Below are 24,555 nucleotides of genomic sequence, written 5' to 3'. Positions count from 1 at the left end.
CAGTCAGATTTTGCTATAAAGTAAAGAAAAAAATTTGGATTTTTAGACTTTTCTGGATTTCAAAATTGTGGGCCTGATTTTCACTTTTTAGGAAACTTACTTTATCCATGAAGCCTTCATTAGCAGTTTCTTCCACACCGACAGCTAAGTGTAGGAGACACTAAGATAGAAAAGTGAGCAAATATCTTTGCGCTCAGTGTTTTACCTTTCTTTAATCATTTGTGGCTTGAAGCCCTTAGCTGATGTTTATTATATGTTAGTGGAATTGAATTGAGTAGCCCAAGACTTGGCTACTGGTATTGAATGGACAGATCAGGGAATAGTGGCTTAGTGCCCAGGGACACTTGGAAAGTCTGCTGGAGCTGAGGTGGAGAAGCTTTCATCGCTGTTTGACTTGATTCTGGTTATTTTTATATTTGCCCGAGGTGCACTGGACCACATGGATTTTTGCTTCTGACTAGAATGCTTCTTTTCAGTGGAATATAATTTTTCTAGGGAGGTCCAGTGCTTACAGCATGGGCTGCTCTGGGGGGGACTTGTTCCTCTGTGTTTAATTGTAGTGTCTTCTTCAGCTGCAGGAAACGCATTTTGTCAGGCAGCCAAGCTCCACATGCAGCTTCAGAGCAAACATGACTCTGCTACCAGCTTTGTGGATGCTGGAAATGCTTACAAAAAGGCAGATCCCCAAGGTAAGACAGCCAGGCATGTAGCATGCTATCTCTGTGTGTAACTAACCAGTCAGTACTTCCCTCAACGTTAAGGTCAGTGTTGGTGTGCTTTCAAGTCCTGGTAAAAAGGAATTTTTGTATTTTGGAATAATAGAGAATTTTGATAACCTTAGGGATTTTTCTTTTTTAATCATTTGGGGGCTTTTATGAGGAGAAATTATGTTAAATTTATACTGGCTGTTTACTTTATAGCATCATTTAATTAAACTCTTATTTATATTGCATTTTAGAGAATTTTTTGGAAATTACCTTTAATTTTATCTAAGACTTCTTATATCTTAATTTTGTGAAAATGTATATTGTTCATAAAAGGAAACTCTTATGTTCCCTTACTCCTAAATACCTAAGGAGTTTTCAGATCCAGTTAATGGGAGATTGTAATATTCAATCGTTAAAAAGTCTGATTCATACAGTATTCATTTGGTTTTTTAAAAAGTTTTTCAAAGTATTTGTTTTGAGGAAAGAATGCAATTGGATATTTAATGTGGTAAAATTTTGCAAAGATTATTTCTTTTTAGTTAGAAGAGTGTAATTAAAAGTATTAATTTCTTACCTTCCACACGCGTGCACAGCGGAAATTTTGTGTTTTTCCTTTTTCTTTTAGCAGTCCATTTTGTTTAACACACAGATCCCAAATTTTGAGAATAAATATGTCATAAAGAAATAGGGTATCTTCAATACCTTTGGTATAAGGGTTAATCACAGTTTATTTCCCAAAGTGACAAACTGGACACAGGTTAAATAAGCTGTTAGAGTGGTAACATTGTAATGCATCAGTACTTTAGAATATGGTGCAGGCATTAAAATCCCTGGTTTCAGAGAATCTTCAGTGACCTGGTAAATGTTTACATGTCAATTAAAGAAGCACATGAGACTGAATGTTGTATAATCTCATTTTCAGAAAAAAGTTTGTGCATATAGAAATGTGTCTAATAAACGCAAAAGGAAAGTACATCTGAGTACTAACAACGGATTTGAGCGGGATTATTGATAGATTATTTTTCTCTTTATATTCTGTATTTTAAAAGGTGTAACAGGGATCCACATTTTTTATGTAGTTTAGAGGGAAATTGTTTTAATTTTTGTTCATCTGCTTACCTTTCTAATTTTGTAGTCAGGCCTTTCTACTTTGCTGCCTCTTTAAACCAAACGTAATAAACTTGGAGCTGTCACTGTATGCCAGCATCATAAACACCATCATTTTATGATAGGGAAAATTTTTTGGCTCACTTGTTTAGAAAATTAGTAAAATTTATTAGCATTATTATTTATTAGATTTGTTTCTTCATTTTGTTAGTATGCTACAATTTAGCATCTTTGAACATTATACAGAATGTTGACTTTGCTTAAGGGTTGTTTGAATAGGCATTTCAAAGTGCTTTTGCTTTTGGCTGCATGGAGAGTAGAATCTATTGAGGTGATTGTTCTTGTGATGTGGTGCCATGTTCCAAAATTAATATATATGCATGGTATTAATGAGGAATATGTTTGCATTCATATTTTAGCAGATACAATTTATCAGTGTTGGTGACAACCTCTATGGTTTTATTTTCTTTATAATACAGTCTTTTGCCTGGATGGAGTCCTCACTTTAAGGTTAAGAGTAACTAAGCCAATGTTACTCCAGCTACAGTTCCCTAAATTATACTATAGCTGCTGGGAACAAAGCCATGCTGATGAATCTGGACTTGTGCATGATTTTTGTTTGCTTCTCATTAACCTGCCCACCCTCCACTCCAAAATTATACCTCATTAACGTTCTGATAACAGCCAGGAAGACAGCCTCACCTGAACCCTCTTTGACTGAATGGATTTTTCATTGTTTTTCTTAAATGCCTACGCTTCAGAGGCTATCAACTGCTTAAATGCAGCCATCGACATTTACACAGACATGGTAAGACATTGCATTGCTTGAGTGGCTGTGGGGTGGAGTCTTGAGATGGCTTAGAGTTCTATCTTTCTTTTTTATGTTCCCAAACTGGCATTCAGATAGGTAAAATCGGTGTGTGACTGTTTCTTGTTTTTTCCCCTAGGGAAGGTTTACAATTGCAGCCAAGCACCACATTACTATTGCAGAGATCTATGAGACTGAACTTGTAGACATTGAGAAGGTAAGCAGTGGGCACACTTCCTCAGATGTGAAGCAGGCAGATAAGCTGACTCAAAGAACTCTCCTCTCCTCAGTCTGAGAGTGATCGTAGGTGTAGAGTGGTCATAGATGGCCTTGCCTGGAGACTTTCTGGCAAAGTCTACTAGCTGGCTAAGTAGATGGGCTGTTTTCCTGGAGTGGACATCTAAGACATGAGAGCTGATTAAGATTTACAGAGATCACCTGTTGTTTCCACTCTCTCTGATTCATGTCAGAACATTAGCATTGCCAAAAGAACCTTCAGCTGTATTGCTTAGTACTCTAAGGCCCAGTGAAGAAAGTGTAAGAGGTCACCTCTGTACACTCAGTCAGCATCACAGCTTTAAGTATCTGTGTGCCAGTGACTCAGAAATCTGACTGCAGCCTAGACCTCTCTCCAAATGCTAGATTACTGTATCCACCTGCCTGCTGACCTCTCCACTTTGTCCAGCAGTCATCTCTAACCCAACATGTCTGGGACTGGATTCTCAGATGTCCCCAACCCAGTGTTCCCCGCTAAACTACAGGCTTCCTTGCCTTTTCTCTTTCTCTACAACCTGTGAGCAATTTTTGTGAGCGGTGTCCTTCCTGCTCCCAAGTCTTGGCACAACTCACTACCTTGTCTCTCAGCTCACACTTGATCGCTGCAGGATCCTTCAAACCGGTCTCCCTGCTTTTGCTCTCCCTACCTTGCCAACCCCACATCCCCATGCCACAGAGTAGCCAGAGTGAGCCTTCTAAGCATTGCATCATACTCTGTTTCTCTACTGCTGACAGTCATTAGACCCCTTTCACTAAGAGGAACAGCTGGAGCTGTGCAGAGCCTTCATGGGTCCACTGAATTGCTTCCTCCCAGCCCCACACTCCCCATGCATCTGTGTGGCCTGGCCTCTCCTCTTTTCTGTTATTCTCCTCCTCTTGCATACCCTGCATGGCCATCCTGGCCTCCTTGCTGTTCCGCACACATGCCAGATGAGCGCTCCTGCCTCAGGACCTTTGTATCCACGATTTCCTCTGTCTGCAAAGCTCTTCCCCAGATGTCCACGTGGCTGACTCCTCACATCTTTCAAGTCCACATGGCTAACTTCCCCGTGCCCTTCCATTTTTGCTCATTTATTACCTATTTCCATGATTAACTATTATGACCCCCTAGTTAATTTAGCCCCCCAGGAAGACATAGTAGATCCCCACACACCTCACTTAACTTCTTGTATTGCTGAGCAGATGTCTCCTTACAATATGCCCTCTCATATGCTTGCTCATCATTCTCATTTTGGTTGTCTCTCTCCCTCCGCCAGATTGGGCACACGTGTCAGCAGAGAGCTTTGTCTCTGCTTTGCTGATGTGTCCCAAGAGCCCAGAACTCTGGGACCTAGTGGGGTCTAAATATTTGCTAAATAAACAAATGCTACCCCTACCTCCACCATACCAAATGGAGTCTTCCTGGTCTGGGGAAGGATCTGCTAGGCGTTACTGAAATTGGACTGGCATTGTTAACGTTCACTCTTTTGACTGTGTGACCTCCACCTGTTGGTTATTCAGCACAAAATTTGCTCATATTTGTTACATAAAATTTATTATTTGACCTTTTTTTTTTATAATTGCCATACTTTTCTGAGGATACTCCCTGATCTTGATCAAGTCAGGGCCACCCTGTGCATTGACGTGTGTGTGAGCCTTCTCTTTGGAAGGTTATCTGTGGATCCTGGAGGCAGGTGATGGAGCTGGATCTGAACCTCCTTTGTTCCCTGGTGTGGAATTGATGATGGAATGGGAGGGAGATGGATCTGGTGTGGCTGGGGTATTTATTTGGTCAGGGTGTCTGGGATGGCCACAGTATCTTTATTTAGGTTTGAGTGAGTCTTGCGGGGATGAGCACTGTGCGCAGAGCATCTTTGCCAGCAGAGGCTCCTGTTCCAGCTTCCTCTTTCACAGTGGTCAGAAGGGCACTCTGGGGCAGGAGCCTGCAGTGCTGTGTCATTTCTGCTGCCCAGGCATGGTCTCCAACACATGGGTCTCCATAAACTTGAGAGCAGATAAAATGAAATGTGACATACTCTTTTTTTCTCTTGAAAAAAAAAAGGCCAGGTACAGTGGCTGATGCCTATAATCCTACCACTTTGGGAGGCCAAGGCAGGAGGATCACTTGAGCCCAGGAGTTCAAGACCAGCCTGGGCAACATGAGAAATCCCCATCTCTACTAAAAATATAAAAAAAAAAACTATCCAGGAATGGTGGCGTGTGCCTCATTCTGTTCCACAGGCTGGACAGGTTGGAGTGGCATGAACACAGCTCACTGTAGCCTCAGCCTCCTGGGCTCAAGCGATCCTCCCACCTCAGCCTTCCAAGTAGCTGAGACTACAGGCATGTGCCACCATGCCCGGCTAATTTTTTAATTTTTCATACAAATGAGGTCTTTTCATGTTGCCCAGGCTGGTCTCAAACTCCTGGACTCAAGCAGTCCTCCCATCTTGGCCTCCCAAATGCTGAGATTACAGTCATGGACCATCATGCCTGACCTTCACGGAATACTGAATTTTAAAATGCAGCTATAAAAGAACAGGTGTACTATGGTTCTCTTTTTGCAAATACTTAGTCACACACAGAAATAGTCTGGAAGAAAATATTTCTCTGGAAGAAAATATTTCTTTGGAACACCTGTCAGAGCTGTCATGTACACACATGTGAGATTACCTGATGAAGGTACATCTCCTCCCTCTAAAATGTGGGCTCTGTGAGGGCAGGGCCCATGACTGTTCCGCTCACCATCACAGCCCTGAGCCTAGCATGATGCCTATTTACAAAGTGGGTGCTCAGTAACAGATGCTAAGTGAATGAAGACAAAGTGCATCACAAATGAAAGCTGCCTATAGTTCCATGGCCTGTTTTGTTTTATTTGTTTTCTTGTCCCTGCAAATCTCTTCTAACTCACTAGGAGCTGCCTTGAAGCCACTTAACTAATGGGCTTGGGCAGAAAGGCAGCACCTTTAATCTGATTTTCAGAGACTGCTAGCTCCCTCATTTGCATTTGCTGTGAAACCTTTGTCATTCAAGCATCCTGCAAACCCACCACCTGCTTCTGTATGTTTGCATGCTAAAAATGGTTTTTACGGTTTTTAATCCTTGAGAGAAAAAAGCATTTTGCGACGTGTAAAAATTATATGAAATTAGAAATTTCATTGTTCATAAATATAGTTTTATTGGAACACAACCACACTTATTCATTTATATCTTGTGTATGGCTGCTTTTATGCTACCACAAGAGAGCTGAGTAGTTGCAACAAAGATGCACAAAACCTAAAATATTTCTTGTCTGACCTGTTAGAGAAAAACTTTGGCTAGAGCCCTGGTTTAAAGAGCTGCTCATACTTATCTCTTGTTATTTGGGGTATAGAAGGTTTTTTCAATCTTATGAGAGCTTTATTTCTAAGGCTGTCTACCACCGTCTACAAACCAGCTGATTCTTTGCAGAGTTCAGCTCTTACAAAACTGTGCTAAAAACAGCAGCACACACTATCATCTGACTCTTCTCAGCCATTTTGCTTAGTTTTGGACTCCGGTAGACACTTATTTTTTTGTTTGTTTGTTTGTTTGAGACAGAGTTTCACTCTTGTCACCCAGGCTGGAGTGCAATGGCGCGATCTCAGCTCACTGCAACCTCTGCCTCCCCGGTTCAAGCAGTTCTCCTGTCTCAGCCTCCCAAGTAGCTGGGATTACGGGTGCCCACACCACGCCCGGCTAATTTTTGTATCTTTTTAGTAGAGACAGGGTTTCACCATGTTGGCCAGGCTAGTCCTGAACTCCTCAGGTATTCCACCCTCCTCGGCCTCCAAAAGTGCTGGGATTACAGGCATGAGCCACCGCACCTGGCCGACACCAGTTCTTTTTTCTGAGTTGTCACGTGCTTGATTTCACTAACTTCTACCACAGCATGACAAGGACTTCTAGCTTTCTGGCCTGTGATCTCTGTTTCTTCTCCACTTGATGCCATATATTTTAGATTGACGGCAACACCCTTATTCTAGGTGACACTTAAGGTATTAGTGTGTGTAGTCTGTGCTGCAAGTCATAGACGTAAGGTGTAATTAGGGCTTCATAGCTCTCTAACAATCCAGTGTGGCTGCTAAGGGTTTGACAGTGGTAGAGACACTGGGGTTGGAGGTACCTTGTGTCCTTTGTAATTACTTAGGAACCTGCCTGACAGTTCTGCCATTTTGGTGTCTAGCTTACAGTGTCACTCTGGACTTGGTCATAGCCCTCCTAGCTCATGGGAAGTGGAAGGCCTGGAGGAGGATGCAAAGTGAGATATATGGCCCAAGCCTGGGAGTGGCCCCCAACATGTCTGTTTACATTCCACTGGAGAGAACTAGTCATAGGCTGCCCCTCACTATGGAGGAAGCTGAGGAAGTGGTGTAGCTGGGCATATGCCATGTGGGGAGGGGGAAACAGATTTTGATGGTCAGCAAGCATTCTGCTTCCAGAGGTGCATGCTTTCTTGTATTTCCTAAAGAAAGTAGGCCGAGTTGTGAAAAGTTTGCTGGTAGAGTAGGTTTATTTATGGAAAAATACCTATGCAAATGTAGTTTTAAAATGCAGCTCTCCAAATAAATTGTGTGTGAATAAAATATGTATGTTTTCAGGCTATTGCACATTATGAACAATCTGCTGATTATTACAAAGGAGAAGAATCCAACAGGCAAGTATTACTTTTCTTAATATGATTTAATGGGTTTTATTATGTGTGATAAAAAAATACTTCTTTATACTTTGTGAGTGTATTTGACTATACCAAATGAAGATGTACTGAGGCCCAGTGCACATCTTTTATTTTTCCATTGACTTGTTACTCACTCTGCTTTGGTTCTTGATTTCAGCTCAGCAAACAAGTGTCTGCTGAAGGTGGCAGCATATGCTGCCCAGCTTGAGCAGTACCAGAAAGCCATTGAGATCTATGAGCAGGTGAGGATACTGTTGTTTCCTTGGAGAGAAGTTGTCTGAATAATTTTTCAAAATTAAACTTTTTATTTTTCTGTTTATTGAGATATAATCCACACATCACGTAATGAGTACAGTTCAGCGGTTTTTAGTCTGTTCACAAAGTTGTATAACTATCACCACTACTTAATTCCAGAACATTTTAATCATCCCCAAAAGAAGCCCAGCAGTCTATTCTTTCCTCCTAGTCCCTGGAAGACACAATCTACTCTCTGTCTATATGGATTTTTCTATTCTGAACCTTGAATATATATGAAATCACATACCATGTGGCCTTTTGTGACTGCCATCTTTCACTTAGTGTATTGTTTTCAGGGTTCATCCATGTCATAGCAAATGTCAGTATGTCATTGTTTTTCGTGGCTAATACCTCATGGTTTATTTATCAATTTATGGATGTTTGGGGTTTTTCCACTTTGGGGCTATTATCAATAATGCTGCTGTGAACATTTGTGTTAAAGTTTTTGTGGTGGTGTTTTTAGTTCTCTTAGTTACATACCTGGGAATAGAATTGCAGTTGCTGGACCATGTGGTAAGTCCATGTTTAACTTTTTGAGGAACTGCCAGACATTTTCACAGTGGCTACACCATTATACCTTCCCACTAGCAATGCACAGTGTTCCAGTTTCTCCACATCCTCACCAATACTTGTTTTGGTTTTTTTTTTTTTTTTTTTTTAAATAATAGTCACCCTAATGAGTGTGAAATGTTGTCTCATTCTGTTTTTGATTGTTATTTCCCTAATGACTAGTGATGTTGAGCATCTTTTTATTTGCTTATTGGCTATTTGTATATCTTTGGAGAAATGTCTATTCCAGTACTTTCTCCGGATTTTAATTTGGCTGTTTGTTTTTTGGTGGTGAGTTTTAGGTGTTCTTTATATATTCTGGATATTAATCCCCTATTAGATATGTGATTTGCAAGTATTTACTCTCATTCTGTGGGTTGTCTCTGGACTCTGTTATTAATGTCCTTTGATTCACTGAAGTCTTTCATATTTTTGAAGTCCAGTTTGTCTATTTTTTCTTTGTCTGGCTTTTGTTGTTATATAGAAGAAATCATCGCTAAATCTGATATGAGGCTTTTCCTTTCTGTTTTGTTATAGGAATTGTATAGTTTTGGCTGTTAGGTTTAGGTCTTTTATCCATTTTGAGTTAATTTTTGTATATAGTATGAGGTAAGGGTCCAACTTTATTCTTTTATATGTGGATATCCAGTTTTTCTAGCACTAATTGTTGAATAGAACTATATTTTAACTATTGAATGGTATTAAGACCCTTATTGAAAATTATTTCACCATATGAAATATGAGGGCTTACTTCTGGGCTCTCTATTCCATTGATCTATTTATCCATCTTTGTGCCAGTATTACACTGTTTATATCTGTAACTTTGCAGTAAGTTTTGAAGTCAGTAAGTGTGAGTCCTCCAGCTTTTTGTTCTTTTTCAGAATTGTTTTGGCTATTCCAGATCCCTTGCATTTTCATCCGAATATTAGGATCAGCTTGTCAATCTCTGCAAAGTAGCCAGCTTGGATTTTGATAGGGATTGTATGGAATGTGCATACCAATTTGGAGTGGTTTTAGGGTTTTCTAGAGAAACAGAACCAATAAGAGGTGTAGGGGTGTATGTGTGTGTGTTTGTGTGTGTGTGAGTGTGTATGTGTGTTTAGAGAGAGAAATTACTGGAGGGAATTGATTCGCTTGATTATATAGGCTGAGAAGGCCTAAGATCTGCATTCTGAAGACCCAGGAGAGCCAATGGTATAGCTCCAGTCCAAATCCAAAGGCCTCAGAACCAGGAGAGTTGATGATGTAATTTCTAATCTGAGTCCAAGTCTGAATCAGGAGAATACCAGTGTCCTGGCTCTAAGACAGGCATTGAGAATGAATTCTTCCTTTTAACCTTTTATTTTATTCAGGTTTTCAGTAGATTGGATGAGGCCCACCCACATTGGGGAGGGCAATCTGCTTATTCATCCTACTGATGCAAACGTTAATCTCATTCAGAAACACCCCACAGACACACTCAGAATAACACCAAATATCTGGGCACCCTGTAGCCCACTCAAGGTGACACATAAAATCAGTCATCACAGAGAGTATTGCCATCTTAACAATACTAAGTCTGACAGTCGATGAATACAGGTTCCTTTTATATTTATTTGGATCTTCTTTCATTTTGCTCAACAATGTTTTGTAGTTTTTGGTGTGTAAGTTTTGTATTTCTTGGGTGAAATATACTCCAAAGTATTTTATTTTTTTTTTGACGCTACTACAAATTGAATTATTTTCTTAATTTCCTTTTAAGATTGTTAACTGCTAGTGTATAGAAATACAGTTGAATTTTGCATATCAATTTTTTGTCCTGCAACCATGCCAAACTTATTAGCTCTAATAGGTTTTTTTGTGTGGATTTCTTAGGTTTTCTATATCCAAAATCATGTTATCTGCAAATAACAATAGTTTTACTTCTTCCTCTGCAATATGAATGTGTTTTACTTCATTTTCTCGGTTGCCCTGGCTAGAATCTCCAGTGCAGTGTTGAATAGAAGTGACAAGAGCAGACATCCTTGTCTTGTTCCTGATCTTGTAAGGAAAACTTTCGGTCTTTCATATTAAGTGTGATAGCGGTAGATATCAGTAGTGGGGTTTTGGTAAATGCTTTTATCAGTTTGAGGCAGTTCCCCTCTCTTCCTAGTTTGTTGAGTGTTTTTATCATCAAAGGGTATTGGATTTTGTCAGGCATTTTCCTGTGTCTATTGAGATAAACATATGATTTTTGTCCTTTATTTGTCAGACTTTTTTCTGCATCTATTGAGATAAACATGGTTTTTGTCCTTTGTCAAACTTTTTTCTGCATCTATTGAGATAAGCGTATGGTTTTTGTCCTAATCAGCTTAATATTGTAGATTACATTGATTGATTTTCATATGTTGAACCAACCTTACATTCCTGGAATAAATTCTACTTGGTCATTGCAAACTTTGAGGGGTTTCCCAAGAACACCCTCAAGTTTATTAATAATTTGTTAGACAAACTTACAGAACCCACTGAAAGCTGTTATACTCACAATTATGGTTTATTACAGCAAACGGGTACAGATTAAACTCAAAGGAGAGACTCATAGGTCAAGGTCTAGGAGACTTCCAGGAAGAGCTTTCAGTTGTCGGCTCTCAGTGGAGTTATGTAAACAGCACTTACTTCCCCCCACAGTAATAAGTGAAAATAAGCGTAGACTGCTGCCAACCAAGGAAGCTCCCCTGAACGTGGTGTTCTGAGTTTTTATTGGGGTCCAGTGACATAGATGTTGACCACCCTTGTGGCTGACTTTACTTTTTGTAAGTGCCAGAATTGGTTTGCTAACATTTTGTTGAGGATTTTATGTCTATGTTCATAAAGGATATTGATCGTTAGTTTTCTTGTGGTGTCTTTGTCTGGTTTTGGAATCAAGGTAATTCTGGTCTCAGAATGCATTAGGATGTCTTCTTCCTCTTCTGTGTTTTGGAAGAGTTTGTAAAGGATTGGTGTGAATTCCTCTTTAAATGTTTGGTAGAATTCAATTATTTCTCTTTTTTTGTTTTTATTTTCACTGATTTCTGTTTTTATTGTTATTTCCTCCATTTTGTTTTCTTTGGATTTGTTTTGCTCTTTTTCTGGGTGCTTGACATGGAAGTTTAGCTTGCTGATTTTCATCTTTGTTGTGTATGCATTTTTAGTGTTATCAGTTACCCTTTCATACATTTGGCTACTTCCCAATTTTATTATATCATTATACTTTTATTTTTATTCAGTTAGTTGGATTTATTGATTTCCCTTGAGACTTCAGTGACCCATGGATTATTTAGTAGTGTTTTATTTAATTTCCAAGTGTCTAGCAGAGATTTTTCTGTAATCTTTCTATTGTTGACTTATTTTTAATTCCTTTGTGGTTAGATAACATATTTTTGCGTGATTTCAATTCTTATAAATTTGTTTTGTTTTATGGCCTAGATATGGTCTATCTTGGCATATGTTTTATGATTATGCTGTTATTGGGTGATGTTTATAAATGTTGATTAGCTCCTGTTGGATGATGGCATTGTCGAGTTCTTTAATATACTTGCTGATCTTTCTTTCTTTCTCTTTCTCTCTCTCTCTCTCTCTCTTTCTCTCTTTCTCTCTCTCTCTTTCTCTTCTTTCTCTTCTTTCTCTTCTTTCAGACAGAGTCTTGCTCTGTCACCCAGGCTGGAGTGCAGTGACTTGATCTCAGCTCACTGCAACCCTCCACCTCCCAGGTTCAAACTATTTTCGTGCCTCAGCCTCCCGAGTAGCTGGGATTACAGGTGTGTGCCATGTTGGCTAGGCTGGTCTCGAATTCCTGGCCTCAAATGATCTGCCTGCCTTGTCCTCCCAAAGTGCCAGGATTACAGGTGTGAGCCACTGCGATTGGCCTTTGATTTTCTTTCTAATTCTATCCATTGTTGAGAGTTGGGTGTTAAAATCTCCAACTTTAGTTGTGGATTTGTCTGACTCTTCTTTCATTGTGTCAGTCTTTGCGTCACATACTTTGCAGCTCTGGATTGCTATTCTTGCTGGAGAGACCCTTTTATCATTACATAATGTCCTTCTCTGTCTCTGGTAATTTTCTTGGCTCAAGTCTACTTTATCCACTTTATAGCCCTGCCTGGTTTCTTTTGATTAATGTTTATATGATATGTTTGTCCATTCTTTTTCTTTCAGCCTGTCTATATCATTATAACTGAAGTGAGTTTCTTGTAGTTGGATCTTGTTTTTTTTTGTTTGTTTGTTTTGAGACAGAGTCTTGCTCTGTCTCCTACACTGGAGCGCAGTGGAGTGATTTTGGCTCACTGCAACCTCTACCTCTTGGATTCAAGTAATTCTCCTGCCTCAGCCTCCCGAGTAGCTGAGATTACAGGTGCGTGCCAGCATGCCCGGCTAATTTTTGTATTTTTAGTAGAGACAGGATTTCACCATGTTGGCCAGGCTGGTTTCATACTCCTGACCTCGGTGATACACCCGCCTTGGCCTCCCAAAGTGCTGGGATTGCAGGCATGATCCACCACAGCCAGCCTGGATCCTGTTTTTTAATCCACTGTGCCAATCTTTGTTTTTCAATTGGTGTATTTAGGTCATTCACATTTAATGCAGTTATTTATATGTTAGGGCTTAATTCTGCTTTCTGCCATTTTAGTTTTTGCTTTCTATTCTTTGCTTTTTGTTTCTCTGTTTTCTTTTTCCAACCTTTTTATGGGTTGCTTTTCTTTTTTTTCTTTCTTTCTTTTTTTTTGAGACTGGGTCTCACTCTGTCACCCAGGCTGGAGGGAAATGGTGCGACCCTGGCTCACTGCAGCCTCCACCTCCCAACCTCAAGCAGTCCTCCCACCTCAGCCTTAGCCTCCAGAATAGCTGAGACTACAGACATGCACCACCACACCTGGCTATTTTTTGTAGCGATGGGGTTTTGCCATGTTGTCCAGGCTGGTCTTGAACTCCTGAGCTCAAGTCTTTTTGTAGCGATGGGGTTTTGCCATGTTGCCCAGGCTGGTCTTGAGCTCCTGAGCTCAAGTCATCTGCCCACCTCGGTCCCCCAAAGTGCCAGGATTATAGGTGTGAGCCACCACACCCAGCCTACTTGATTTTCCAGTGTTTCTAAGTACAGTTATTCCTCAGTGTCTACAGGGGATTAGTTCCAGGACCTCTCTCATATATCAAAATCTGTGCATAGTCAAGTCCCACAGTCGGCCCTGTGGAACTCACATATAAAAAAGTCTGCCTTTCATTTATATGGGTGTTGAATTCCTAAGAATACTGTATTTTCAATCCACATTTGGTTGAAAAAAATCCGTATATAAGTGGATTCACACAGTTTAAACCAGTGTTGTTGGAGAATCAATGGTATATATCTTTGTGTAGCTTTTGTGGTTAAATGCTGTAGGTTGGTGTCATCATTTTATAAGTTCTGGTGAAATATAGAAATCTTACCTCCCTTTCTGTTCTTTTACTCCCCCTATTCAATATATAGTTGTCTTAATGTTTCCTCTGCATACATTTAGAACCACATGAGTCAATGTTAGAATTTTTGTTTCAGCCATCAAACATAATTTAGAAAACTCAAGAAAGAAAGCCTGTTATATTTACCCATATTTTTGCTTACCATGTTCTTTCTTCTGGATGTTCCAAGATTATTGTTTCCTTTCTATTTAGAGAACCTCCTTTTGTCATTTTTTTAGGGTAGGTCTGCTGACAACAAATTTTCTTAGTTTTCCCCTATCTGGAAACGTTTTGATTTTGCCTTCATTTCTGAAACATAGTTTTCCTGGGAGTATAATTCTAAGTTGATTGTTCTTTTCCTTTAGTTTCAAAAATGTGCACTTTATGGCTTCCATGGTTTTACAAACTTCTGACATCAAGTGATCCACCCACCTCAGCCTCCCAAAGTGCTGGGATTACAGGCATGAGCCACAACGCCTAGTCGGCCTCCATTGTTTTTGATAAGAAGTCTGCTGTCATTCAACTTGTTTTCCCCTATAAAAAAGGTGTTATTCTCTAGACACTTTCATAATTTTTTTCTTTTAGTTTCAAAAGTTTAATTATAATGTGGCTTGGATAGATATATTTGGTTTTAAGCTATTTGAGTTTCCCTAAACTTACAGAATCTGTAGGTTTATGTTTCTTGTCAAATTTGAGAATCATTTAGCAGTTATTTCTTCAAGTACTTTTTCAGCTTCCTTTTTTTTTTTTTTTTTTTTTTTGAGACCGAGTCTTGCTCTGTCGCCCAGGCGTGCCAGTTTAATGGCGCAATCTTGTCTCACTGCAACCTTTGCCTCCCAGGTTCAAGCAATTCTCCTGTCTCAGCCTCCCAAGTAGCTGGGACTACAGGTGCTTGCCACCACACCTGGCTAATTTTTGTATTTTTAGTACAGACAAGGTTTCGCCATGTTGACCAGGCTGGTCTTGAACTCTTGACCTCAAGTGGTTCGCCTGCCTTGGCCTCCCACAGTGCTGGGATTACAGGCGTGAGCCACCATGCCCAGCCAGCCCTTTTCTCTTTCTCCTCCCCTTCTAGAACACAGATGCCACAAAAGTGAGACTGTTTTATTATCCCATGGGTCCTTGATGCTCTGTTCCTTTTTGTCAGTTTGTCTTCTCTCTGTTGTTCCTGTTGTTGTCTTCCATTTAGTGCTTCTTTCCTCTGTCCCTTTCATCCTGCTGTTGAGCCCACCCACTTTTTATGTATGGTACTGTTTTTTTTTTTCAGTTCTGAAATTTTTATTTGTTTTTACTTTATATCTTTTTTCCTGTGGCTTCCTTTTTCTTTGTGGATGCTTTCCATTTTTCCATTAGCTTCAGGTGTTATTGTACTTGCTTTTTGGAGCATTTTTATGAGGGCTTCTTTAAAATCTTCGTGGGATATTTTGGACATTTCCGTCATCTGGAACCATCATCTGTTAATGGTCTTTTTTCATTTAGCTTGAGATCTTCCTGTGTTTTTGGTATTACAAGTCATTTCTGATTGAAAACAGGGCATTTGCACATTAGGTTATGAGACTGGGTCTTGTTTAAACGTTCTCTTTTCAGTTGGCCTTCTTTGACATTCCTCTGGCTGGGGAAGGTGGGGATGTTACCTCATTACTGCCAGGTGGAGGTAGAAGTGTCAGCTTTCCACCAGGTCTCTGTTGACACCTGAGGGGCCTAGTCAGCCCTGGGCAGAAGTGGCATCCCCTCTCCTTATCTGTTTCTGCCAGCACAGTGCTGGTTTGTTCTTGGTATGGTGAGAGTCTTCACCCTCCACTAGACCTCTTCTGACAGCACACCAGCTGGAGAAAGAAGGGGAACCTCTTTCCTGCTTGACAGAGACAGGATGCAGGCTCCCAGTGTGGTCTGCACTGCCTTAGTGTCAGGGGGTTGGGTGGGGATCAAGCCTCAGCTCCCTATTTGGCCTTCTCTGAAGCTCCTAAGCAGAGGTATTGGGGTGCTTCTTACAGTCTTTCAAGAATGGACTTTAGGACTCCTTCTTCAGCCTTTGATGATGTAAATGGAGTTAGGGCCTCAGTTTTTCTGTGATATTTGGCTGGAGTAGAGCAGTTATTGTCTAAGTGTTTTCTCTCTTGCTGGGCTGCCCCTTTTCTAGTCCTTTGGCCAGAGAGAGCAGGCTTTTGTCTCTTCTCTTTTTATCTGTGCATACTGGCATTTCTGGGTTGCTGGTTCTTCAGTTTCATGCCATGGATATAGGAAGGGAAAAGAAAACTGAGGGAACCCACTACCACGTTTTCCCTTGGGAAACGTTTGTTTTTTAGAAAATGACCTGGGCTTTTAGTAGTGCTTAGTGGGAGGATTAGGGGAAAGGATGTTTACTCCATCTTATTGGAAGCAGAATTCTTCTGAGCTATTTTTAACTGGTTAAGACTTCATGTATTTAATGGTCTTGTCTAGTAAAATTTCTACTATATGGTATTCGGATAAAATAATATATTTCATAGCTAAACAAACATAAGATACATAATTATTTTCTAAAGGACAACAGATGAGAATGACTTTGCCTGATATAAGAGGGTAAATCTTTTAAATTTAACTCTGCGTTCTGTGCCTAGGTTGGGGCAAACACAATGGATAATCCTTTGTTGAAATACAGTGCAAAGGATTACTTCTTCAAAGCTGCCCTCTGCCACTTCATAGTAGACGAGTTGAATGCCAAGGTAAGGAGTTCTTCAGCATTGATTGACTGATTTCACCCATAAGAATACGTACACATTCTCTCTTGTTCTTGGTATCATTTCATTTTGATGTTAGTACCAAGAATAAACGGGTACATTAAAAATAAGTATTATTCTGTGGTATGTGTCCCAGTTGTAATCTTTTAACAGCTGTCAAAGCTGTTCTCAAAAGTTACCTGATAGTTTATAGCCATACCACCCTGAACACACCCAATCTCGTCTGATCTCAGAAGCTAAGCAGTGTAGAGCCTGGTACTTGAATGGGGGGCACTGCCTGGGAATATTTAGTGCTATAGGCTTAAATATATGTATATGTTCACTGGTAGCCACCATTTTTTTTTCAGTAGTTTTGCTTTAAAGAAATTAAGGGGGCCAGGCGTGGTGGCTCACATCTGTAAACCCAGCATTTTGGGAGGCCAAGTGGGGTGGAGCACCTGAGGTCAGGAGTTTGAGACCAGCCTGGTCAAAATGGTGAAACCCCGTTTCTACTAAAAATATAAAAAAATTAGCTGGGTGTGGTGGCGGGTGCCTGTAAGTCCAGCTACTTGAGAGGCTGAGGCAGGAGAATCACTTGAACCTGTGAGGCAGAGGTTGCAGTGAGCTGAGATCGCACCACTGCACTCCAGCCTGGGTGACAGAGTAAGAGTCCGTCTCAAAAAAAAAAAAGAAAGAAATTAAGGAACTAAGGGAGGAGACAATAAGAGTAGGATAATATCCATTTAAAAAACAACCAAAACAACAGGCAAGCTCAGAAATGGTGTTGGAGTGAGGACTGGGAAGAAGTTGAAAAGCACAGTGAGCACTGGGAGCCAAGAGGCAAAAAGACAGGCAGCCTTGGCATGGCCAGTGTCTGGAGTTGGAAGAGCAGAACTAAAGCCAGTAAGAGAAACTGTTCTTTCTGTCAGCTTCGAGCAGGAAGCTAAATGTAATTTATTTGGAATCTGGACTGTATTAAGAACGTCTCCATTTAATGGATGGATACAGATACCTGGTCTGTGAGTGTTTAAGAATTCATTTTCATTTACAATGTCTTCTCAGCAGCAGCCTAACTCAGAAAAAAGTAGTTTAGAAATTATTCTTTATTGAAATGGAAAATTCAGAATAGAAAGATTTTCTATGTTGATTCTGCTTTTGAGTTTAACTACATACTTTTTCAACACTTAATAGGATATAGGTAGATCTTATTTGAAGCTGATAGAATGTTGAAAGCTTTGTTTGTTTAGTAAGTCTGAAATTGATGAGTGGTTTTTCTCTCTCAGCTTGCTCTTGAGAAATATGAGGAAATGTTTCCAGCATTTACTGATTCAAGAGAATGTAAATTATTGAAAGTAAGTAATATTAGAACTTTGAAGAAAAATGCTTTTGTTCTGTTAGGTGACAACACCTAAGTGGGATTGGGTATGAAGTGAAGTTTTAATCTATAAAGTCTGCTAACTGAGGGGCCCTGGTACTTTCCTGCTTTCGTATTATAGGTGTTCAAATGCAATTAAGGTCAGAAACATGTAGTTGTGTTCTGAAATAGGCACCTGAGAAATGTTACTACAGAAGCTAGATCCCTAACTTGGCTCTTGACTTGTATATGAGTATTTCCTCAGTTTTGTGCAATATTTGGCAACATTGGTATTATACTTAAAGTATATATTTAGAAATGGGACTTCATCTTACAGAACTGTTTTTTAAAATATTTTTATGCTACCAGAAACTCCTAGAAGCTCATGAAGAACAGAACAGTGAAGCTTACACTGAAGCAGTAAGTTATGCTTTTGGGACATGGTACATTATTTGAAGATTTAAGTTAAAGAAACTTCTTTTCCTTTTCATTATGTGAATTCTAAACATTTATTTGAACATGACTCCAGCATACCTTAAGTTGTATTTTCCAAACGTCACCTTTTATATATCACACAAATTAAACAGTTCCATTAGCCATGCTGAGATTCGACTTACACTCAAAACTAATTTAGCTGTGAGACTAGTTCAGGAGCAAATATTCCATTTATATTCTTATAATTTGCTGTTTTAATTTTTTCTTTTGAAAATAATCTGACCCATAAATAAGTATAAAGTAAAATTAGTTAAGGCCAGGCACGGCGTCTCACACCTGTAATCCTGGCACTTTCGGAGGCCGAGGCAGGCAGATCATGAGTCAGGAAATTGAGACCATCCTCGCCAACATGGTGAAACCCCGTCTCTACTAAAAATATAAAAATTAGCCAGGCATGCTGGCACACGCCTGTAGTCCCAGCTACTCGGGAGGCTGAGGCAGGAGAATCGCTTGAACCCGGGAGGCAGAGGTTGCAGTGAGCTGAGATTGCACCACTGCACTCCAGCCTGGTGACAGAGCGAGACTCTGTCTCAAAAAAAAAAAGAAAAAAAAAATTAAATATAATTTAAAATATAAAAACTAAGTAGTGAGAATTTGCTGTATTTGTGGCATGAAATAAATGGAAGGTGGCCAGGCACGGTGGCTCACACCTATAATCCTAGCACTTTGGGAGGCCAAGGCGGGTGGATCACCTGAGATCAGGAGTTTGAGACCAGCTTGGCCAACATGGCAAAACACCATCTTTACTAAAAATACAAAAATTAGCCAGGCATGGTGGAGTGTGCCTGTAATACCAGCTACTCGGGAGGCTGAGGCAGGAGAATCTCTTGAACCCAGGAGGTGGAGGTTGCAGTGAGCCAAGATCACGCCATTGCATTCCAGCCTGGGCAACAAGAGTGAAACTCCATCTCAAAAATAAATAAATAAATAATAAATATATATATATATTAAAAATATGAGGGTTTTTTTCTTTATACTTTTTGTTTTTCCATCTTTTGCCATCTCATGTTTAGAATCAAGCAAAAAAAAATGTTTTTATATATTTTGAAACAGATCCTCACTCTGTCACTCAGGCTGGAGTGCTGTGGTGTGATCACGGCTCACTGCACCCTCAACCTCCTGGGTTCAGGTGATCCTCCCACCTGAGACTCCTAAGTACCTGGGACTACAGGTGCACACCACCACCCCCAGCTAATTTTTTTTTTTTTTTTTGCATTTTTTGTTGAGACAAGGTTTCACCATGTTGCCCAGGCTGGTCTCTTAACTCCTGGGCTTAAGCTATCCACCTGCCTTGGCCTCCCAGACTTCAAGGATTACAGGCATGAGCCACTACATCCAGCCTCAAGCAAATTTCTCAGTAGCCTCCTGTAACATGTTCATCACAGCTCAGGAGTGATAGAGGAAAGGAATGTTTTCCTGTCTGACTTTTGCCTACCACATCATTTTCATCCTATTGTAATTTTATTTTTGGGTAATGCATTGAAATGTGTTAATTCCGCTTCCATACATATTCTAACTCTGTAATTAATGTTTTCCCATGTTCAGTGAGTATTAATTTTCCATATTCCTTTCAAATTTTTATACAATATCCAGTTACTTTTGCCACAATAATTATGACTGTTAATGAATTTTTTTCTTACACGTTTGAAAACAGAGAAATGTCAAGCCCAGGAACTTGTCACTAGTATCAAAATAGTAACAGGATAATGAAAAAATAAACAATTTTTTAATGAAGAAAGTTATAAACTGGAATGATTAATTTCAAATGATGAAGAAAGTTAGTAGATTATGGCTGTAAAGGTATAAACAGCTTGGGGTACTATTATTTTGTGTTTTTAATGTATTTACATGGGGTAATTCCTGTTCCTCTTTCCTTATACTAGGTGAAGGAATTTGACTCAATATCTCGCTTGGATCAGTGGCTGACCACCATGTTGCTTCGCATCAAAAAGTCCATCCAAGGGGATGGAGAAGGAGATGGAGACCTAAAATGAAATGTTTTTGTCTTTGTGGCATGCAGCTAACTCCTCTTTAGTTTTGTCTTAGGGTCAAGTGATCTTTATGGGATGCCTATTTAATGGCTTAATTTTGTTGCATATGAGCCAGACGGCCTGTGTATTGTTTAAGCTCGCCAAGTCTGTGTTGCTGTGAAATGAATGAAGGAGAGGCTCCTGTTCATCTTGTGGTAATGATGGGTTGTTTCATGCTTATCAGAACCCCCAGCGTTTTCTGAGAAGTACTTCAGAATCTCATTCCTCATATTTCATTGGTATTTGTGGAGCCTATGTTTAATGTTGCCACGTGTTTTTATGTCCTTTTTGTTGGACTTGAGTACTCAGCCCAGTTGTTCTCATAGATGCTTTGCATTTTCTCTGTGCTTTGGCATCTGAATATGTTCTTTAAATGTGTGTTTAGTTTAGGACAGTTACTAGGAATGAGTTTATAACTTCATTAGAAATCATTTCTATTTTTGTTATCCTGTGATTATTTTGATGGTGCTAGTGACTAGTTTCTTTGCTTTTTGTGTTGTTCCGTATGCTAACATGTGCATGGCAAAAATTTAGAATAGCCAGGGTCTGTAGGCATCACATTGTGAGGAAGGGAGCTTTCTGGAAGTACTTGCTTCATGTATGGATGAGTGTCAAAGTGAATTTGATTTGTACTTAGACACACGCGTTTACACACACACACATATCACAAGATCTGTTAGAAATGGAATTTTTCTCTTTTTCTGGAGATAGTTTTCACTTTTAGTTGGAGTGGAAATCCCTTTATATTTACATTGAAGTATTTTAATTGGCATAGCCTGCTCATTATTTTCATGTTTATACACTTTCCCACGTTGAGGTGGTGTGTTCTGTGCTGTGACTATAGAAATCTTGGTCAGGGCTGGATAGATTATCTAAGTCAAGCTTGAGAATGAATGTATGTAATTTTCCTGTTTATTGTACATGATGGGTTAGGTGGGGTGAATGTGGTACAGGAATGTCCTGTATGCCCAAGTGGGCAAGAACCCCAACTTGTTTCTCAGGGGACTTGATTGTTCTCTTAGCTGGTGGAATATGTTGGCTTATGTGTTTGAACTCTGTCGTGTTTAATTGGTTTATATAATATATGTATGCTATCTTGATTCATGAACTTGATCCTATTAATTTATATGCTGATATTGTACTTTAGACATACGCTTGTCTCCTGAATGTCCTCTGAATATTTATAGTTAAATGATTTATATTTGAAATGTGTTGCCAGACTTAACCCAGCAGACACTCTGACATCACGGAGCTTCACTGATGACAGGTAACGAAACTTCCTATGTTATGTCAGGTAGTAGTAAGTAGTATTGGAATGATGTTTTCATTTTTGGTGGCTCTCAACTGGAATTGGTAGTGTTTCCAGGCCAAGGGTCGACTGCAGGTTGTTTGAGAAATGATGAGTAGGTCAGTCTAGGAAGAAAGAGAAAGTAGCAGGAAAGGAAGTGGGAAGGGCCAGCCAAGGACAGACTGTAGAGGATCCACATCAGGTGGCCACGAGGACTTGCAGGCTATAGTTATGGTGGTGACATGCATGAGGTGGGCTGGTAGAGCAGGAAGCTCTGTGATGTCAGAGCATCTACTGGGACTACAGGTGCACTGTAGTCCCCACTACTGGGGGTGGCAATGAAGACACTCTGTCTGTTGGGCCCTAGAATTTAATGTGGATTTCCTCCTTCCTTCCAAGTTCTGAGATTCTTAAATGAGAGCTGGCTGTCTTCTAGAGGTAAGACCTGGAATGGAGTCCAGTTGGTACTTTTTCACTCCCTCTTAGAATCTCTTATGAAAAAATGATCAGAGAGAAAAGTGGGGTTTTGTTTCCCCACCTAATAATATATCCTACAACCAGCCAAATGCACTTTTGTGAAAATGGGGTGTGAGGAGTGGTTCTGCAGCTTGAGTCCTCTGGTTTTAAGTAGTTTGTTTCTACTTGTTTAAAGAATCTTCTGGTCTGACCACTTAAAGTAAAAACTACATGATTTATTTTCGGGCAATTATGTTTAGCTTTCATCATTATACTCCAACAGACCCGTCTGAAGGGGTATTTTTTTTTAACAATAATGTTTGTAACATTTTGTTGTGTCAATTAGAGGGTCACTTGTTTGTATTGCAATAAACACTGGGACCAGTTCCGGGGTTAAGAATTAATTTTTGTTTTTAATATTTCACATGAAAAGAATCAAAGTAATTGTAATGGCTAGAAGAGACCTGCCAGAAGATTAAAAAAAAGAATGAGAGAAAAGCCCAGTTAGTGGTGTGCAAACTTACTTCCTTTAAATGTCCCATGGATGTAGGACAGTGCCATGTTTCAAGATGCCTGTGAGCTAGGTCTTCAAGATTTATAGAATGTTACTTATGAACAAAATATAATTATTTATGGTACAATTCTTGTACTTTAGCAAATCTGGAGTTAGTTCATAGTCAAAGTCAGTTAATATTTCTTAGAGGAAAGTTTTGCTTTTTGTGGCAACATTTTTATAGCTTGTGTGAGTTCTTTTTTATTTAATGATTTGAAAGCAGTATTTTTGCACAGTCGTGACCGTGTGTGGTGGCGTCACTGTAACCAAAGTATATGCACCAGCCCTTGTGCATTTATTGTTTCTCCTGATTTTGTGGATTTAAATGTCCAAATGCAAACCTTTGTGACTTCCTTTGGAGGACTTGGCAGCACAGCATGCCCCCGTGACCTGCCTGCTGTGGTATGAGCTATGACCAAGAGCAGGCTTCCTGCTCCATGGAGTCCTGAGTTGCTCTGGGGCAGGGGATTACGTTATGAAAACTAACCATGTGTAACAATAAATCTACCTTAGCAGAAAAAGTATGCTTGTTTTATTTTAACCTATAAAGTGGAAATTATCAGTAATATTTTGATGAGTCTTGTTGCTAAATTGGCATAGGTCAAAAGTAGCTTCCATTGTTTCAAGTTGTTCCCGTTAAGATTAAGGCAACAGACGTTAATACTCTCTAGGCTCCGGTCATTTGTTGGGAATTCCAGGGCACCGTAATGGTTTTGCAGACTGAGGGTTTAGAAGGAAACCCTGGTAACTTCTGTTGATGCAGTCCACTAAAGTACATGATAACCCTGCAGACCCCACATTCTCATCCCTTCCTTGAATCCTTTAGGGTCTACAGTTACTTGCAAAGTTGAGGAAGGCATGGTTGCTGGAAGACTGGTGGGGAGGTGAGGCACCCCTAAGCCTGACACTCTCCTACCCCAAGAAAGTACCACTCAACTATCTGGTCAGTGTGGGCATTTATTTTAATTTTGCAAAATATCTGCACAGGGAGAGGAGATGCCCCTGGGGAAGGGTCAGTCCCACTGACCACTGGGGCCTGAAGTTCTGATGAGGAAGAGGACCCATGGCGGGTAGTGCAGACCGGCTCATCCTACCATCCTATCATAGAGCCTTGATTTCAGGTCCTAAAGTATATTCACAACACTTCAGGTAAGTCAAAGCAAAATGTTTTAAATGGTAGAACAAGCTGTCCTCATCTAGGCATTCTGAGTTGTTGATCATTCAAAGCCTAAATCAAGTGGCTCTTCTCAGAATCAATTTCCTAATGAAGATGCCACCATGGTAGTTTAAAAGCTTAGTTTTGTCAGCCTTAGTTAAGAGTCCACGTACGGATTGCCAAAGGTATGCAGATGATTTTCTGAGTCTCATTTAGCATGATGTGATAGATCAGGGGTCCCCAACCCGTTAGAAACTGGGCCTTACGGCAGGAGGTGAGCTGCAGGCAGTGAAGCTTCATCTGTATTTGCAGTCACTCCCCGTGGCTCACATTACCACCTGAGCTGTGCACCCTGTCAGATCAGCAGTGTCATTAGAGTCTCATAGGAGTGCAAACCCTATTGAACTGCGCGTGCACGGGATCTAGGTTGTACGCTTTTTATGAGAATCTAATGCCTAATGATCTGTTGCTGTCTTCCATCACCCCCAGATGGGACTGTCAAGTTGCAGGAAAACAAGCTCAGGGCTCCCACTATACATTATGGTGCATTGTATAATTACTTCATTGTATATTACAATGCAATAATAATAGAAAGTGCACAATAAATGCAATGCGCTTGAATCATCCTGAAACCATTCTGTCCCCCCACCTGTGGGAAAATTGTCTTCCACAAAAGTGGTC

At 40.0% G+C, this 24,555-nt stretch overlaps 1 protein-coding gene and 1 pseudogene across 10 annotated transcripts in view, besides 1 other annotated feature; both read left to right on the top strand.

The window, feature by feature from the left end:
- NAPB (NSF attachment protein beta) overlaps positions 1-23,239 on the top strand; it is a 46,967-nt gene extending 23,728 nt beyond the window's left edge. The window contains exons 3-11 of one of the 10 annotated variants that reach the window (NR_104266.2): positions 579-689; positions 2,762-2,839; positions 7,497-7,552; positions 7,731-7,815; positions 16,444-16,548; positions 17,826-17,894; positions 18,266-18,316; positions 20,275-21,688; positions 22,109-23,239. Coding sequence is in view for 9 of the 10 variants with exons in the window: in NM_001283018.2 (NP_001269947.1) it covers positions 561-689; positions 2,576-2,622; positions 2,762-2,839; positions 7,497-7,552; positions 7,731-7,815; positions 16,444-16,548; positions 17,826-17,894; positions 18,266-18,316; positions 20,275-20,385 (731 nt within the window). In the remaining variant the exon portion in view is untranslated. Of the gene's footprint in view, positions 1-560; positions 690-2,293; positions 2,623-2,761; positions 2,840-7,496; positions 7,553-7,730; positions 7,816-16,443; positions 16,549-17,825; positions 17,895-18,265; positions 18,317-20,274 lie in introns of those variants that run through there. The other 9 variants (NM_022080.3, NM_001283018.2, XM_047440358.1 and 6 more) reach the window with 9 other exon arrangements.
- Positions 5,501-6,040: an enhancer, noted in NCBI's record as "OCT4-NANOG hESC enhancer chr20:23372358-23372897 (GRCh37/hg19 assembly coordinates)". NCBI's record gives its function as "activates a minimal SCP1, AML or CMV promoter by ChIP-STARR-seq in primed H9 embryonic stem cells {active_cell/tissue: H9 hESC(primed)}" and the evidence as "EXISTENCE:reporter gene assay evidence [ECO:0000049][PMID:30033119]".
- Positions 16,749-16,865, top strand: RNA5SP479 (RNA, 5S ribosomal pseudogene 479; annotated as a pseudogene).

Source organism: Homo sapiens, chromosome 20, assembly GCF_000001405.40.
Source record: "Homo sapiens chromosome 20, GRCh38.p14 Primary Assembly".
In the NCBI taxonomy this organism is placed as follows: domain Eukaryota; kingdom Metazoa; phylum Chordata; class Mammalia; order Primates; family Hominidae; genus Homo; species Homo sapiens.
This window is presented reverse-complemented; position numbering and strand designations above follow the sequence as displayed.